The sequence below is a fragment of the Homo sapiens genome, chromosome 7 (assembly GCF_000001405.40).
Source record: "Homo sapiens chromosome 7, GRCh38.p14 Primary Assembly".
NCBI classification, from domain to species: domain Eukaryota; kingdom Metazoa; phylum Chordata; class Mammalia; order Primates; family Hominidae; genus Homo; species Homo sapiens.
The window spans coordinates 97510717-97528926 of record NC_000007.14 but is presented as its reverse complement, the minus strand read 5'-3'; the positions used below and the strand labels follow the sequence as shown (position 1 = coordinate 97528926).

General features: G+C 37.5%; 1 long non-coding RNA gene across 1 annotated transcript in view, besides 1 other annotated feature; it reads left to right on the top strand.

Moving 5' to 3' along the window:
• The window catches only part of LOC105375416 (uncharacterized), a 237202-nt gene that overhangs the window by 36805 nt on the left and 182187 nt on the right, over nt 1–18210 (top strand). The gene's annotated exons all lie outside the window — the stretch shown is intronic.
• Nucleotides 15980–16029: an enhancer, noted in NCBI's record as "active region_26302". NCBI's record gives its function as "activates an Ori minimal core promoter by ATAC-STARR-seq in GM12878 lymphoblastoid cells {active_cell/tissue: GM12878}" and the evidence as "EXISTENCE:reporter gene assay evidence [ECO:0000049][PMID:35858748]".

The following is an 18210-nucleotide window of genomic DNA, read 5'->3' as shown; positions in this document are numbered from 1 at the left end:
CAAACAAATGAATTTTGATCAATTGTATTTCATGAAATTTCTATCAAAAAAATCTTATGTTTTGATGCTACGTTACTGTATATATTCCTAATAGGACAGAGCTTCCATTCTTACTAGGTGTCAGGGAGAATCTCTTTACAATTTTCCGTATATGATCATTGAAGTAATTTTTCATAGATTAGTTTTTGACTCATCTGCTTCAAACCTTGTTTCTCCTCCCTACCCATGTACTCTTGATGTTGTATAGCACAATATTTTCCCGACAAAACCTAACTCCACATTTCCGTCACATGATGCCAGGTAAGGGGGCAGGGTAGGAGCACTGCTTGAAATAACAACCTCCCCATGCATAGAGTGATTATGACCCACGTAAACATGTCTCACCATAGACAAACTAAATGTACTATCAACTCAGCTTCTCCCAGTTGGATACTAAAAGTGCCCATGACCACCTTGGTGCCACATGATACTAGGGGAGCTAAAGCTCGAAGATTAGTCAGAGTAGAAAGAGAAAGCAGCTATAAGTAAATTCAGTTAAAATAATACACAGTTACAAATTTTACGGAAACATTTGACTGTATGAATACATTGAAAGGACCCCTCTCAGAGCCTTGAAGATGTCTATGTAAATTTAGAGCCCTGAACGTCAGCTTAATTTGTTTCAGAGTAAAACTCGCTTGTTTTCATGGCTTCTCCAAGGGAAATACAACCCTCATGGAAATTCAGACAAACAGTTCCTGCTAAATTGTCCTAGAGTCCTTAGTTTATGAGCTTGCCTTCTCCTTTAATGTCCAAATAAAATAACTTGCATCCCTATTACATGTTATTGCAGCGTATGGGATCTGCTTTCCAGGGATTTAGGGGATTCCTAATGAAGAGAGAATGCATGCTTTAAATTTTTTCTAGCTCAATTTAATTTCTGGTCACCTTCTATCAACTTGACACTGCTCTCTGATCCAGTTGTGAATACAGAGTCTTCCATTTTCATTTTTTAGCAATAACAACAAAAAGCACTACTGCAATTGGCAAAGGGAAATAGGAACTTTTGCATCTTGCAACAGAGAATATATTGATTAAAGCATTTTTGATGTATAATTTTGTAGTATCTCTCTTTAAGGGTATAAAATTTCCAAAGTCACAGAAGTTGTAAAACTAAAGTATATTAGTCTGTGTGGACTGCTATAACAAAATACCATAGACTGGGTGGCTTAAACAACAGACATTTGTTTATCATAGCTTTGGAGGCTGGGAAGTCCAAGATCAAGGTGCCAACTGATTCAGTTCCTGGTGAGGGCTCTCTTTCTGGATTTCAGATGGCTGCCTTCTAGCCATCTTCTAGCCTTCTAGCCTTGCCCTTGCATGGTGGAGAGAGAGCTCTGGTCTCTTTGCCTCTTCTTATAAGGGCACTAATCCCATCATGCAGACCCCATCCTCATTACCTCATCTAAACCTAATTATCTCTCACAGATTCCATCTCTGAATACCAATAGCATCATATTGGGGATTAGGACTTCAACATATGAATTTGTTGGGGGAGGGAGGACACAATTTAGTTCACAATTCACAGTAAATATTTTGTCTATGGCTGGAATTAATGCAGTTCCTGGGCTCATTTCTGCTGATGCCAGAAAAGTTCACACTTTACTTTTTTAAGAAAACTTTTTGTAGAGAGAAGGTCTTGCTATGTTGCCCAGGTTGTTCTAGAACTCCTGGCCTCAAGTGATCCTCCCACCTCAGCCTCCCAAAAGCACTGAGATTACAGGCGTGAGCTATCATGCCTAGCCAGAAAAGTTTATTCTGACAAGTTAATGTAATTCAATGACTTCTGTTTTCAAACTCCATTTCCTTTGGGCAAATGCGAGCAAGTGCCCAGCCCAAAATCAAGATTGTGCCTCAGCCTTCACCTTATCCTGGGGGTGATCTAAGTTAGTGGAGTCAGTAGAGGGAGGAAATGGAGTCTTATCATTAAGCCATCATGGATAAGTCAATCCGTGCCCAGTAGTCACCAGCATCTGCTGACCTCTGCTGAGGTGTTGTTTGCTCTTGTTTTGTGTTGATGTTTATGGCTGAGGCCGCCAGGCCCTATTTATCAGGTTTGTGAGACCCAACTGAAGGCAGTCTTCTGTCTACAGGCCCCTTTCTGCCTTTCTGAGCTCTTTTTTTTTTTTTGCAGGATTCTGGAACTCATGGCTGTTTTCTCTTCACTGTGCTGGGGTTTATAAGACTCACTGAGACTTCTCCTAGCCTCATCCAGCCAGATAACATTTTTGGCTATTTCTTCTCTGCTACTCAGGATCCATGTTAGTAAAGAGGCTTCTCTTTGAGTTTGCGATCTCCCAGCAGTGCTTTTTCCCTGTGACTTTACTAAAACTTACCTAGGTATTCTCCTCATTGCCTCCCCACTGGAGTCCATTCCAGAGGGGAGGATAAGTAGACGGATGATAGGATTCTGAGACCTACATCTTAAGCCTTATTCACAACTTTTGAATTCCCCTCCCCCATCTAATCAGGCACTCCATACTTCTTGAGTGAGAAACACAGCCAAAGTCATCAAGCCTTCTACTGCCTCAGTAATCACCACACAGACACTATGTTCTTAGGCCTCTGAGCTCTGCATGTAATATGAAAAGCCAAGCTGCTGGGATCCCCAACATCTTTTCTCTCTCAAAAGCCTGGCTTTTGCAATTAATGCTAAAAATTATTCCTCCCTCCACATTCCTTCTTATGAATATAACCTAAAGTTTGTTTAGATTTTCACACTTCCCTTCATGTACTCCATGCCCTGGATAAGGGTAACTCAATTATAGCAGCAGGGATGGTAGTGATTGGCCCCACAGTTGCTTCAGACCTATTTTATGTAATAAATCTCTTATTCTCTACCCGGTGTAGTGGTTCTGCTCTCCTGATTGGACTATCACTGAAAAAGGGGTGCTTGCTCTTCCCTTTTATTTCCCATGTGGAAACAGACTTTATTCACATTGAAATATAAATTGCTAACAACTTTTAAGGTGTTACTCATTCTAAAAGTATTGGGTATTTTAGCAATATGTTAAACACATAATTTTTAAAAATCTATTGAATGAAGAATCTACATCTAAATGGAGTTTTACCTAAGCCTGAGTCTGACCAAGATCACACAGTCATCTTCCTCATGACTCTTAACCTCTTTAAACTGGATTTTAAAGTTATATATGACTCATATATAAAATGAGAATAGCATAGCGTGTTGGAAAGAACAACTTGGGAAATAGGAAACCTAAGTTCTAGTCCCAGTTCTTCCACAAAGCAATTGTGTAGTGCTGGACAAGTCATTTAATTTCTATGGCTTCTGGTTCTTCATTTTTAAAACGTGAAAGTTGGACTGGACTAGTGGTTAACAAATTGATGTATGCACAATTCTGCAGGTATACAAAGACTTTCTGAGGTATATGTGGGCTCTGTAGTTTTAAGGAAACACATTTTCTTGTCTTCAACTTCCATTTGTATACTTTCCCAGCTTCATGTAGATTGTACCTTTCTACTTCCTATCACAATTAGATTTCTCTCTATATTAAAAAAAAAGCATACTCTACTTTTATCCTAAATCTTACTATGGTGTGTTGTCCTGGTTACCCAGGAAACCCAGGGCCTTTAAAAAAATAAAAGGTTATATTGAAATATTTTTATTGTTTTGGAAACCTCATTTAATGACTTATAAACCTGTCACAGATCATCTTGGTTTTGCTAGCCTTATGGTTTTCTGGTAATACTGAAAAATAACATTAGAGTTGGGGTATTTTGATCCTTGTTAGGAGGTTCCAAAATCAAATATATTGTAGAATTTGGGCCGAGAGGGTAATGGAACACTTACTTAATTACCTTACCTCTGTGACCTCTTGACCACTGTGACAGAATGCAGTACTTTAGGCAATGTCTAGTAAGAATAAATAAAGGAGAGCATAGTAAGATATATTGAATTCTAGAAATGAATTTTTGCATGTATTTAAATGTGAACAGTTTTATTTCAGCTTTTATGTTCATCTCTTGCTTCATTAGCTGGAAAGAAAAGCAACTTCTTCTGGTTTGGATGTTTTGTCCCCTCCAAATCTCGTGTTGAAATGCAACCTCCAGTATTGGAGGAGGGCCCGTGGGAGGTGTTTGGGTCAAGGGAGTGGATCCCTCATGAATGGCTTGGTGCTGTTTTCACTCTGAGTTCACATGAGATCTGGTTGTTTAAGAGCCTAGCACTTCCTTCCTCTCTCTCCCTTGCTCCCTCTCTTGCCATTTGACATGTTGGCTCTCCTTTACCTTCTGCCGTGTTTATAAGTTTCCTGAGGCCCTCACCAGAAGCAGATGCTAGCACTATGCTTCATGCACAGCCTGTAGAACCATGAGCCAAATGAACCTCTGTTCTTTATAGATTACCCAGTCTCATGTATTCCTTTATAACAACACAGATGGACTAACATAAATAGCCAAAGTGGTATAGGTTAATGATGTTACTTCTTTAATTGCAATTGCAATGCTTAATGCTTATCAGATTTTTCAAATTACATTGGATAAAGCCACAGATAAAAGTTGTAGAGATTTCGTATACCCATAGTATGAGTTATTCAATAAGGTACTTAAAACCTATTTTATCAAAATATGTCATAAAATATTTATAGCAATTATAGTCAATCCTCTTAAATTGCCTTATAAAAATGTTTAATAATTTCTACTTCCTGTTAACATAAAATACTTGTAGAACTGATTAGTTTCTAGTGTCTTGCTTTTTAAATACATATATAGGTAACATTTGATCATTAGTATCTAAAAAATTGAGTCATTTCAGAATTATTTTCAAAAATGGAACTCATGCGTATGTATTTACTAAAGGAAAATCATGCTCTTTATCATACATTTTGCTTCATAATAACTTAGATACCCAACATTTGCACTGTAATGAAATGAAAAATTAAAGATATTATTTCAAAGACTCTGTTTCCCAGGCAACATATAAAGAGCTTAGAAATTCTTTTTTTTTTTTTTTTTTTTTTGTCTTTTTTGCGACAGAGTCTCACTCTGTCGCCCAGACTGGAGTGCAGTGGCATGATCTCTGCTCACTGCAAGCTCCCCTTCCAGGTTCACACCATTCTCCTGCCTCAGCCTCCCGAGTAGCTGGGACTACAGGCGCCTGCCATGACGCCCGGCTAATTTTTTGTATTTTTAGTAGAGACGGGCTTTCACCGTGTTAGCCAGGATGATCTCCATCTCCTGACCTCGTGATCTGCCCGCCTTGGCCTCCCAAAGTGCTGGGATTACAGGCGTGAGCCAGGGCGCCTGGCCAAGAGCTTAGAAATTCTTACAAGAAAACACCTGAGCAAAATAAGAACCAACTGCTCTTTTTAGATCCATCAGAGAATTGAGGTCCAAAGCAAACTACTGCCCCTAAAACTGGACAGACAGACAGGTAGATACAGAGAATTACAGATTACTTGGAGCAGAAGTCTAGGAGCAGAAGCTCTCAGCTTAAGCCAGTATTGGTAGGTACACTTTAGTAATTGACGAATGGCTAGAGGCTCAGTGTGAATTAGCTGAAAGTTAAAAAAACTCCGAGGAGGACCAGTCTTAAAAGGGTCCCCAAATTTTTGTGAGTTTTGTCTCCAGGAGCCCTACAAGTTTCTCTTAGTGAAGATCCAAAAGGGGAGCAGTAGCTATTTTGAAATATACCCAGAACTCCCAATTCTCCTTAACGAGGCCTTCTGTCAAGTGAAACTATTTTACTAGAGTACAGCAGACTGATGTTTTACCAAAGCCTAACCAACCTAGGGGAAGGGAAATGTCCAACTCAAGCTCCTTGAAAGATAAGACCTAATCATGGAACTCATCCCTTCCTCAACAACTTACCACCATATCAACAGGGCTCCTGTATGGTAACAGGGGATTACGGCTAAAGAATTGCAAACCTCACACCCAATTTAATGAGTCTCCAGAGATACACAAAGTTGATGGGAGACAAAAACAAAAATACTAGAGGAGATTGTAGCCTTTGACATCACAGTTACAACAAACAAACATAACTCACTCTAAGCCAGATTCACATAAAACCTCATACTAAAGGCCTGTTTCAGTTTTCTACCCATGATATATCATGTCTGGTTTTAAACAAAAAATTATAAGATACACCTTTAAAAAGCACAGTTGGAAGAGACAGCGAAAATCAAAACTTTACTGAGATATTACAGAGATGTTGGAATTTTCAGACTGGAAATGTAATATAGCTATGATTAATGTGTTAAAGTTTCTAATGGAAAGAGTGAACAACATGCAAGAACAGATAGGTAAAATAAGCAGAGAGAGAATCTCTAAGGTTTAAAAGGAAAGGTTAGAAATAAAAAACACTGTGATAGAAATGAAAGATGCTTTGAGTTCATCAATAGACTGGATAATGGCTGGGGAAAGAATCGGTTTGTTTGCAGAAGCAGAGAAGGGTGATGCCAGGGATGAGGGAATGAGAAGATGTTAGTCAGAGAGTAAAAACTTTAAGTCATAAGACGAACAAGTTCTGTGCCTCTAATGTACAGCATGGTGATTGTAGCTAATAATGTTCTATTGTTACTTTGAGTTTGCTAAGACTATAGATCTTACCACACACACAAATGGTAAAAATGTGAGGTAATTAATGTGCTAAGTATCTTGATGTGGTAATTATTTCACAATGTATATTAAATCATGTTGTATATCTTTAAATGTATATAATTTTTATCTGTCATTTATACTGCCATAAAACTAGAATCAGGGAGTTTGAAGAAATGTTAAGGTAAATGTCCAAGCTGAAATGCAAAGAGGAAAAAGGATAAAAAAGATGGAATAGAATATCCAAGCACTGTGGGAAAATTATAAAAGCTGTAACATACAGATAATGAGAATACCAGAAGGAAAAGAAAGAAAGGAACAGAAAAATTACTTGAAGTAATAATGGCTGAGAATTTTTCAAAATTAATGACAGACACAAAAACCACAGATACAGAATGCTCAAAGAACACCAAGCAGGATAAATACAAAAAAAAAAAAAATCTACATCTAGGCCTATTATATTCAAACTGCAGAAGGTCAATGACAAAGAGAAAATCTCGACAGAAGCCTGGTAGAGAGGAGTGTGGGATACATTACCTACAGAGAAACAAAAATAAGAATTACATTGAATTTCTCTTTGGACACCATGAAAGCAAGAAGAGAAGAGTGAAATATTGGAAGTGTGGAAAGGATATTCTTATTTTTTTTCTTTCTTTGAGACAGAGTCTTACTGTCACCCAGGCTGGAGTGCAATGATGCCATCATGGCTCACTGCAGCCTCAACCTCCTGGGCTCAAACAATCCTCCTGCCTCAGCTTCCCCTCCAAGTAGCTAGGACTATAGGATTGCCACTATGCCAGGCCAATTTTTGTATTTTTTGTAGAGTCCGGGTTTGGCTGACTGTAATATATATATATATATATTTGTCATTTCATAAGTCTTCGAAAAGTCTTCTTAGTAATCTTCCCAGAAATTGAGAAAATGAATGACTCAAATGACTAACAGGATCCTTTTAAAGTCAGGTGGGGCTGGGTGTGGTGGCTCACACCTGTAATCCCAACACTTTGGGAGGCCAAGGCAGGCAGATCACTTGAGGTCAGGAGTTTGAGACCAGCCTGGCCAACATGGTGAGACCCCCATCTCTACTAATAATACAAAAATTAGTTGTGTGTAATGGTGCATCCCTTTAAACCCACCTACTTGGGAGGCTGAGACATGAGAATCTCTGGAACCTGGTAGGGGGAGGTTGCGGTGAGCTGAGATCGCGCCACTGCACTCTAGCCTGGGCGACAAACTGTGTCTCAAAATAAATAAATAAATAAATAAATAAAATAAGTCAGATGGCTCCTAATTCTTTGTTTTCGTTAAAACTGAAGGAAGATGGGGTTAATTTGTTTCTGGAGAGCAGGCAATTTTGTGATTTCTAGCATTTAATTCACTAAATTGAACATCTATTAACAAATGTTAGCCTTTCTTGACTTATTTATAAAAACAAAAATAGAAATAGCTGATTCTGAATTGTGTATTATTCTGGCAATAAATGATATTTATTGATAGCCATATGAGCTGCATGGGGGAAAGCTTTATCTTAATTTATTTCTAAAAATTTTGCTTTGATCAATTTTATTTTGTTTTGGTCAATTATATCCTAATGAGTTTTAGTGATAACTCAGTCTGGTAAAATATGATACTATTTAGATGGTTTTTTTCTTTGGTCACAGAAAAAATTTATTTCAGTTTACAAACACATTTTGGAAGGAAATGTGACAAGTGATCAATTAAACATTTTCAATTAGAAAACTACTATTTTAAGACAAATTTTTGCAGCAAAACAAAAAAGAAACACAAATTAAGGAAAAAATATGGAAAATTTCCTGACTTAATGAAAAGCTTGCTCAAGTATTTTTAATTTTTTGCCCCAATTTCTTTTATTATTTTGTTTTATTTTATCTTACTTATTTTTATTTATTTTTTTGAGATGGAGTCTTGCTGTGTTGCCCAGGCTGGAGTGCAGTGTCATGATCTCAGCTCACTGCAACCTCTGCCTCCGGGGTTCAAGCAATTCTCCCTGCCTCAGCCTCCCAAGTAGCTGGGATTACAGGTGCCCGCCACCACGCCTGGGCATACATGCACACATAAGAAGAAAGCAAAAAGCAAGCGCAGCAAAAGTTTAACAGTTGGTGTATTTAAGAGGCTAATTGTACTATTTAAAAAACCTTTCTGGAGGTTTAGACCTTACAAATTAAGAAATTGGGGCAGCCGGCAGTGGCTCATGCCTGTAATCCTAGCACTTTGGGAGGCAAAGGCGGGTGGATCACCAGAGGTCAGGAGTTCAAGACCAGCCTGGCCAACATGGTTAAACCCTGTCTCTACTAAAAATACAAAAATTAGCTGGGCATGGTGGTGGGCGCCTGTAATCCCAGCTACTCAGGAGGCTGAGGCAGGAGAATCACTTGAACTCAGGCAGCAGAGGTTGCAGTGAGCCAAGATTGTGCCATTGCCCTCCAGCCTGGGCAACAGAGTGAGACTCTGCCTCAAAAAAAAAAAAAAAAAAAAAAAAAGATGATAGGTATTAAAATGATGTAGCATTTAGATTTCTTTGGATATATATAGAAGTACAATTCAATATTTTATTTTTAAATGTCAATATTCTAACTATGACAAAGTATATCTTCGCGACTATTTAACAATCTTCAGTTCAATTGGAAAAACGTTAGATGACAACTTCATATGAATGAAGTAGTACAATGTTTTTTAAAGTACTTTTAGGGAATAGAAAGCAAAGAAATATTTGAAAGCCATTGCATGAGATGATTCCGAGATTATTTCCAACTCTAAAACTCGGGTATTTAACTTATATAAACTCACATGAAGCTCTGTGTACAGTTGTTAACTCATTTCATAAATGGAGATCTTCTGTTCAAGATGTCCATTAATGAAATGAGTTAAATAAGTTAAATTATTTAACTTTACAGTTTGTAGAGTTAACTGTATAGTTTGTTACACAGTTCGAAAGTGCCAGAGCCAAGACCTGGACTGGCTCTACTTATCTCCAAATTCCCTGCTCAGTCCTCACTGCCATTCATCCCTAGAAGGTCTAGGGATCAGACCGTGAGATTGGACCTCTTTACAAAATTTTTCAGTGTACAGTACAGTATTGTTAACTATGAATACAATGCTGTATAGCAAATTTCTGGAACTTTCTCATCTTGAGATTTTTCATCTCACTCTTGCATGACTGAATCTTTATACTAATTGAATAGCAACTCTCAATTTTTCCTTCTCCAACCCCTAGTAACCATCATCTTTATAGTCGTTCAATAGCAACTCTATTTTTCCTTCTTCAATCCCTAGTAACCAGCATCTTTATACTCATTGAATAGCAATTCTCCATTTTTCCCTTCCCCAACCCCTAGTAACCACCATTCTACTTTCTGCTTATATGAGACTGATCTCAACTTTTTCTGTGGATACATCTTTTTTGAACCTGTGAGTGTACATTCCTAATGTAAGATTTTACATTTTTTTTCTTTCAGGAGCTTGTAATCTCTTGTTCCCCTGGCATCTGTCTTCTATGGTATGGGTCTTCTGGAAAAGAAACACTTTGCCTAGTTCCTTTTTATTCTTAGCAACCCCCAAAGATCTAGAGTATGGTGAGTCCTGTCAGTGCTTCAAGACTGTTGAGACAGAAGCCTGTCCCTTGAGATGTTCCTCTGTCCCACAAAGTCTAAATGCTGAATAAACACTCTGATCTTCTTTTCTCCTCCCCGAGAGAATCCAGAAACTGAGATTTTCCTTCTAATTTGTATGATATTTTGGCAGCGGAGGGATAATGGTGAGAGAGTGCCCCAAATTTTCCCGTTGGCTTTGATGTGGCTGCTTTTGCTCTTATTTGGGGTACGGGATCCTTTTTAGTGTTTTCTGGTTTCTCACAAAAGAAATTACCTCATGTCTTATTGTTGAATCATTATGTCCATTGAGGGAAGAAAGTCTGGGGCTCCCTATTCTGCCATTTGCAATGTCATGCCCTAGACTTACTTCTTATAAAAATATCTATGTTCTAGTTTATGAGATTTCCTTAAGGGAAAGATTGACTTTAATGGTGGTGACCTGCATGTGACATTAGATAGGAGATATTCAGGACAGGGTAAAGCCCTCAAGCCACATTACACAGGCTAGTCTTGTACCACTGGATTGATCCCCATCTTCATAGTCTGCAAGGAGAGCCGGTTGAGCATCTTAACAGTGACAACCAGATTCTAAAACATTTATAGGAATGAATGAGTAACCTGTGAATCTAAAAGTTTAATAATCCCCAGACTAACATCTATTTTTTTAAACTATTACAATGTATGTCTTCTCAGTAGAGCACTAAAGGTAATCCAGAAATAGAGTAAAAAATATCTTTCAGCAATGAAAGGAGGGAGACCTTCAAAGTTGGGAATAATGCTGGCACTATTATAAAGTCCCAGCTATTCCAGAGTTGTAGTATTCATATACTTTTGGGAAAACCTTCTCCAGTGAGCCCATAATGTAATCCTTCATTCCATTTAGATGTTACTAAATTTTAACCCTGCACGTAACTTTTATCCTTAGGCACATCAGGCTGTCAAGAGAGATACTCTGGATTGAGCTGTAGCAATACTTTATGACTTTAATTTAAGCATGTTATAATTAGAAGCTGCTTGCTTATACCCCTATGACTAGTGTAATATTTTTTCCTATAAGGACACAGATTCTAGCTTATCAATCATCCTCCCCTTTGCACTAATCCTGCTACCCTTTATTTTTACACAAATTCAAAATCTCTTAACAGATTCATGCTTTGAGCGTATTTGTAAAATTAATCCCTTAGGATTCATTTTTCTATGTCCGTATTTAAAAATGTTTTCTTCTTTTTTGGCTTGGGGTAATCTTTTTTAGGACAGTAATGCAGTATTATGTCTTTTAGCACCTTAAACAGTGCTATGCAGAGGGTGGGAGCTCTATAAATGTTTGAAAAATGAAATTGTTCTGTTATTATGAAGACAACTGTGCTGGCTCACTTGTCCTTAGTCAGAGACACAGAGAGAAGCCTCTTTAACCAGCAAAGATGCGTGTTACTGAGACAAGAAAGACCATTCCTGTTTTTTTTTTCTTTATCAAAATTAGCTATGACAAGTCTATATACATTGTGCTGCATGTTCTACAATACGAGAAACATAGATTCCATTTAAAGAACAGCAACACAATTATATGAAACATATATTCTGGAATATATAGAACCTGTAGTTTTAGGACTTTATTGCTTGAGCCACTCATAGCACTAACTGTTGGGGATAGCTGGCAGGAAATCCAGTAGACAAGGATAATTAACAAACAACACTGGAGAACTGTCTACAAATGTTCCTACTCTCCCAGCAACCCAATGATCAATAAGAACAGACTTTATTATGGGCTGCAAGAGTGAAACCAAGCTTTTAGAGTAGCAATTGCTGTTGTTTTGCAGTATCTAAGTCTCAAATACTTATTTATTTTTGTATTCTCCTAAAAATCTCTTCCATTCTTTCCGTTTCTTATGCCTGCAGCTATTGCTATGGGAGAATATTATGGTAATCGATCAATATCTGATTAAAAGTATGAAGCTTTTTCATTATCTCCACAAGGTGATTGAATTTCTTCTGCCCGAACAGCAAGATTCTCCTTTGAATTGCTGCAGCAGAGACTGGCACTGTGAGCAAATTTTGGGCTGCATTTATTTAGTGTGAGTGAGCAAGTTCTCTGTTTTCTTAGTATCAAAATGCAGGCAAGAAGCTACTTAGTACTTGTCAGGAAGAGGAGTTACTGTAAAATGAGTATGGGTTATTTGATCTTTACACAGAATGCTTGATATCTTATGTCCCACTTCCATTCTCCCAAAACACACACACCTACTTGCTTTAATGCCTAGTTTCATGGGAAATAATTAATCAACCATTTATGTACATTTGATAGCTAAGATGTTTTCTTTTCTAAATGTTTCTGAAAGACCACACTGCTAAATAAGCAGGAAAAAAAGCACATGCTTTGTATGGTGTAATAAATAACTGTCTTTTAGGCAAGGTTGCCTTCCAATTGTCGGTGGTAAAAGATATGTGAATAACAAGAAGAATTGGAAATGTCAAATAATAGAAGAGTTTCCTATTGAAAATCAGTAGATTATATTAACATATCTTCTTCTCTCAGTTTTTCAGCAGAATTAATAAGTAATACATTTACCTCATTGACCTTATGTATACTTTCTGGTGGACAAGCTTATAACCTGTCAGTGAAGACAGCCAGAAATAAAATAGGCAGGGAAACTGACAAATACAGCACATGGATAATTTGCCATTGAATAATAAGCAATTAACTATTAATTGAAGCTTTTAACCTAAATGCAAGAAAGCCACTTTGCAAGGCTGGTCTTTTTGCATAATGAAGAAAAAGAGAAGTCAGATATAAAGATAAGCTGCTTTCTATTCAATTTTTTTGAAATCTAAATGAATGTCTTTGACTATTGAGGGTTGGGAACATTTTTAGAAGTCTGATGGAAGCTATATCCCCACTTCCTATAAAAATGCAGAATTATAGGACCACTACATCAATGGCATGGTATCCGTATGATTGGTGCGCCCCTGGAGTTGCACAATGCTGACATATGCGTATCTTCTATCTTAGGGACTCCAGATAAGGAAGCACTTTCCCCACTGTGATCTTTGGCAGAACTTAGCTTGAAGAAAGCACAATTCTATTGGTACCTAGCCTAGTATATCCACTGCTGGTGTGGGAAGGAGGTTACTTTGAGCCTGTCTAAATTAATAGAGTGGCAGTATTTGCAGGTGACACTAATCCTAGGAGAAATTCAGTGACTTTACTCAGAATATCACATCATTTACTTACAGAAAAAGCAATGAGGGATACATAATTAAATAGATGCTGTTGCCATAGGTGACCATTCTAAGCAAAATAAATCTCTTGCATCTCGATATGGCTTTGAGCTGACTTTCAGTTTTCTGCAGCTGGCTTTATTGCATGTTCTAAATTTTCATGCATATGAAATATTTTGAAAATGTAATTCAATTGTCACTTGCACAGGAATGAAAAGAAGCAAGGAAATGACTCTTCATTGAGTTTTGGCTTTTTCTTGATTAGATGAGCAGCTGTTGAGCAATAAGTCTACCAAAATGGCAATTTGACTGAGCCAAATAAAACCCAACTAAATAAGACCACTAACTCCAGTCAGGCTTCTTAGAGTACTTTAGACTCAGTGTTAGGCACAAGAGGGCATCCTAATGGTGTCATTGCTTCTTGGTGAATAATTCCTTTTTCTCTTTTTTTATTTCCAAGCTAATCTTATCTGCTCACATTTTTTCACATCTTTGAAATGACTTATATGTATTGATGTAAAAATGCAGGAAGTATTGAAGGTAATGATCCTTTTTGGAGGTTGTTGACATGCAGGTAGAAAAAAGCCTAAAAGTTTTTATTCCAGTTTATATGCTTCTTTCATTAAAAATCTTTTGAAAGCCTATTATAAACAAGTTATACTATTTAGTATCTATATTTGCATCTGACTGCTTATGTTTCTTTAGAGCCTCAGAGTAACCTGTTGAGTTTGATGGGACACTTTACAATTAAGGAGGCAAAGCAAAGTGACTTATCAATAGTAGAAAGATGGCTTTGAACATAAATTGCTTGGTTCTCATTACAACGCACCTTTCCCACTATAACATGGAGCCTGCTTCAAGGACTCGGGGACTTCTGTTGGGAGATACACAATGATGCCTGCAATGGATTTGAAGGGAAAAATATTTTAATATTACTAAGCTTGTGAAGGCAGAGCTTTTGAATTCCATTTCTCACCAATGCAGCAAATAATATGAAGAGATTGTATTTTTAATAGAATCTCCAAATTTTCCATCTGGATGAATTACAATCATTTAGATTTATGACTCCTTATGGACTCCTCCTCTTTATTCCATGATACCCATAAGCATTTCCTTTCTCTTTCCCACAATGTCATGAGGAAGAAACAAAGCCATGCAGAGAATGCCCTTGGTTTTGCTTATCCCCACTGCAGAGACCAATGATTTATTTATAGATCAGCTTTGCCGAAGTGTTTTGGAGAACCTAGCATTTCTTAAAGGGAACATCACAGATGGAATTAGGTTGTGGGCTATGTATATTTCATTTAAAACAGCAGGATCTATTTTTTTTCTGCTTATTATTACATTGCCCCATGTAGTTTTATCAGTTTTTTTCTTTAACCTTGAACTAGAAAATACATGAGTATTTGGGTTGGAAAAACACTTCTGTAGATTAACAACTCATTTGATATAATTGTCCAGTCAATCAAATCTATTGAAAAATACATAATACATGCACAGAATGCACAGAAGGGGCATGGCCACTATTTTGAAGGTATGGAAAGATTCAGAAAATGGACTACTATAAGCCCAGTGCATTGATTCAAGTTTGTTGGTCTGAGGCTGTCCACAGCCACTAGTGAGCCAGGGTCTGTCCCATTTTAAGGAAATAGCTAGTTGCTTCATTATTATATTTGTGTTTGTGTACAATCACAAAGAAACAGCGCACAATCATAACTCTTTATATACTCAGATATTACTTTTCTTTCAACGAAGATGTGGCTTTGTCTATAATCCATTTTGTTTCCCTGAAACAAAATTTCAGTCCACTGGGTGGAAGGAAGAAAACAAACATTTAACACTTGCTATAAGCTGAATTGTGTCCCTACAAAATGTATTTGTTCAACTTTAATTCCCCATGTGACTGTATTTGGAGTTAGGGGTTATGAGGAAGTGAAAAATGTTAAATGAGCTCATAAGTGTGGGGCCCAAATCTGACAGGGCTGGTGCAGAGAGAACAGAGCTTCCCTGTTCCACCATGTGAGTACATGGTGAGAAGGCAGCCATCTGCAATCAAGAAAGAGAGCCCTCACCAGGAACTGAACCAGCTGGCATCTTAATGTTGGAGTTCCTAGCCTTCAGAACTGTGAGAAATAAATTTCTGTTGTTTAAGCCTGCTAGTATATGGCATTTTGCTATGGCAGCCTGAGCAGACTAATATCATCCTGTCAGTTTAAGTTACTTAAACCATTAGTTTAGGATATGCTCAGACTCACCAAGAAAAAAAAAAACGATGTAGGTTTTTATTTCTTCCACCCCCTCCAAGCAGTGCTTGGGTGAGTGTGAGGGTGTGCTGCAATGCAACCTTGTGGTGAAGGAAAAGAATTTAGGTCCACGGGGTGGGTGTCTGCTGGCATCTTGGGGCTCCAGTACAATCCCTTCTGCCCCCTTGTCAGGGGCTGGTCCTGCTTACATGTGCAGTTGACATCTGTGACTAGCATGACTCAATATCTGATTTCTGTTTGTCCCTCCCTTGTTGACTCAGCGTCACCTCAGTTCTATCTGGTGCTATAGGCTCTCTGCATTCTACTACATCCTCACCATGGTGGGCTCTATAACATCCCTAGAACTCTCAACCCTGTGGCCAACTGCTTCTATACTGGAGCTACAAGAACACCTGGGTCTCATCCCTGCTACCCACAAACCCTGAGTGGATCAGGAAAGCCAAATATCAAAGTCTCCTTTTGTCTGACAAACTATACTGTACCACTTGGCTTACTGTGATCCGATTTGTTGCTGCTTGACCAACTCCCTCTTAAATCCCACAGGGAAAGCCAGGACAAGAGGTTTCCACTGTCCTTAGCTTTTCCTCACTCTGAGGACACATGACTCATCATTTTCTCTTATCTCTTCCCAGCTTATCTTCTTTTTCTAAATTCCCTCAAACTCCCAGAAAAAAGAAAAAAAGCAAACTTGCTCTCTCTCTCCAAGTCATTATTTCCTTTTTATCAGACAAAAACAAGTTTTATGCCCTAGGAGAGTGAGAGAGAGCTTCTTTGCATTCTGGGCAGTGTATGAGCTGAGTCCTGAATCTTGGTATGCTAAAGGAGTTTATAAAGGTATTTAGGAAGTCTGTTCTCTCTCACTTCTCCCACAATGTCCTTTTCTCTGAGGTCATAAACTTTAGACATAAAAAGTTTCAGATGGACAAAAATTTACAGGAAGAATGAAAATGATTGGCTTATATTCACAAAGATATTATTCCTCCCTGTGAATAGGATTGTCTATTTTACCATGGCTGTATGCTTACATTCTGTGTATTAATGCACAGTTTCATATATAAACCTTACTCCTTGAGGCAGGTATCCCAGGTGTGAACAAACACCACTAGTGTTCACAATGAATACACAGTGCATAAGACTTCAGGCATTCAAAACATTCTCTCAATCCTCCAAGATATCTTCCACCAGCTTGTCCAAACTGTTCATTTGTTTTACATTTTCTTTTGTAAAATAAGCATATAGGCAAGCCACTCCACTCAGATATTGTGTGAATAATTGGTTCCTTGCACTTTTGAAAGAATAATTTAATTAGCTCATCAAAGTACTCTTCAGTTATATCCTATATTTTGTCCATCCAGGACACTGCATATTTAATTATTCTGGGTCAATGAGCATCCTGCTGGGTATCTCTTAAATGAGTATTCCTGTCATATTGCATTTTTACTTCTTATTGGCATGCAAGAGGGGAGAGCTACTGTTTACAAAGCTCCAGTTTGACTGCTATTTTTGACCCTGGTGTACCACTTCTGTGGCAAGCTCAATCATAGGCTCTGAGAAGAGTTCTTAGGTCCACAGCCATTTATGCATGCAAGATTTCAGATGTTTAAATAATCATCATTTTGGTGATTTATAACTTGGAAGAACTAGGAATATCTTTTGTCTTATATTTCTTGCCTTCTGTTTGTTTAACTTAAAGTTTCTTTCAAGCTTAGTATAAACTGAGAAAGTGAGACACAAAAATTGTGTTAAAATGCATATTCTTTAATATGTCAATAAAACAGTTTCACTTATCCAGATGTTTATGTTTAAGTTTTTTCTTAAAAATCAAATTTTCCATCAATGAGCACATTGATGTAAAGCAGTGATATATCGACATGTACTTCTAGACAATAATTTGGGGTTCTATCATATAGCAGTGACAGAAAATCCCATATAAAGATATAAATGGAAAATGATACCTGACTGATGGATTAGATTGATTGGCACTGTAAAGATAAGACTATTTTGTTCCTTGATGGGAGATTAGTACAGAAATAGATGTGTGAGTCAAACTTCAGCACAGTAATGATTTCCTGACAAGCACTCTTTCCAAACCCAAAATACATTAAGTTTAAATGCAAAGAACCCTTACACTTTAAATATTTCTCTCAATTTTTCTATAAACTGGTAGAAAAAAGAATTTGCACTTTATGTCAAGACCACAATAATTTGTTTGTGTATAGCATATTACCTGCTAAAGACCATGATGGAAGTTAAATAATGATGAGCCAATTGCTGGGCTTATGGTAGAGTGCTATATGATTGACTCAGATAACAATATATCAGGGCCACACATTAGTTTCTGAATGGTTGAGATTGAGTGCTAATGCAATTTGGAAGAATTCCCAGTACAAATAAAGAGATATACACTGTCCCTTTAATGACTCAGGGAAACAGAAACAATTTTTCACGCATTAAACATTTTACCAAGTTTGAATATTTTGTCTTTTTTAATTTGAAGAAAAAACTTTTTTGACTCTAACAGC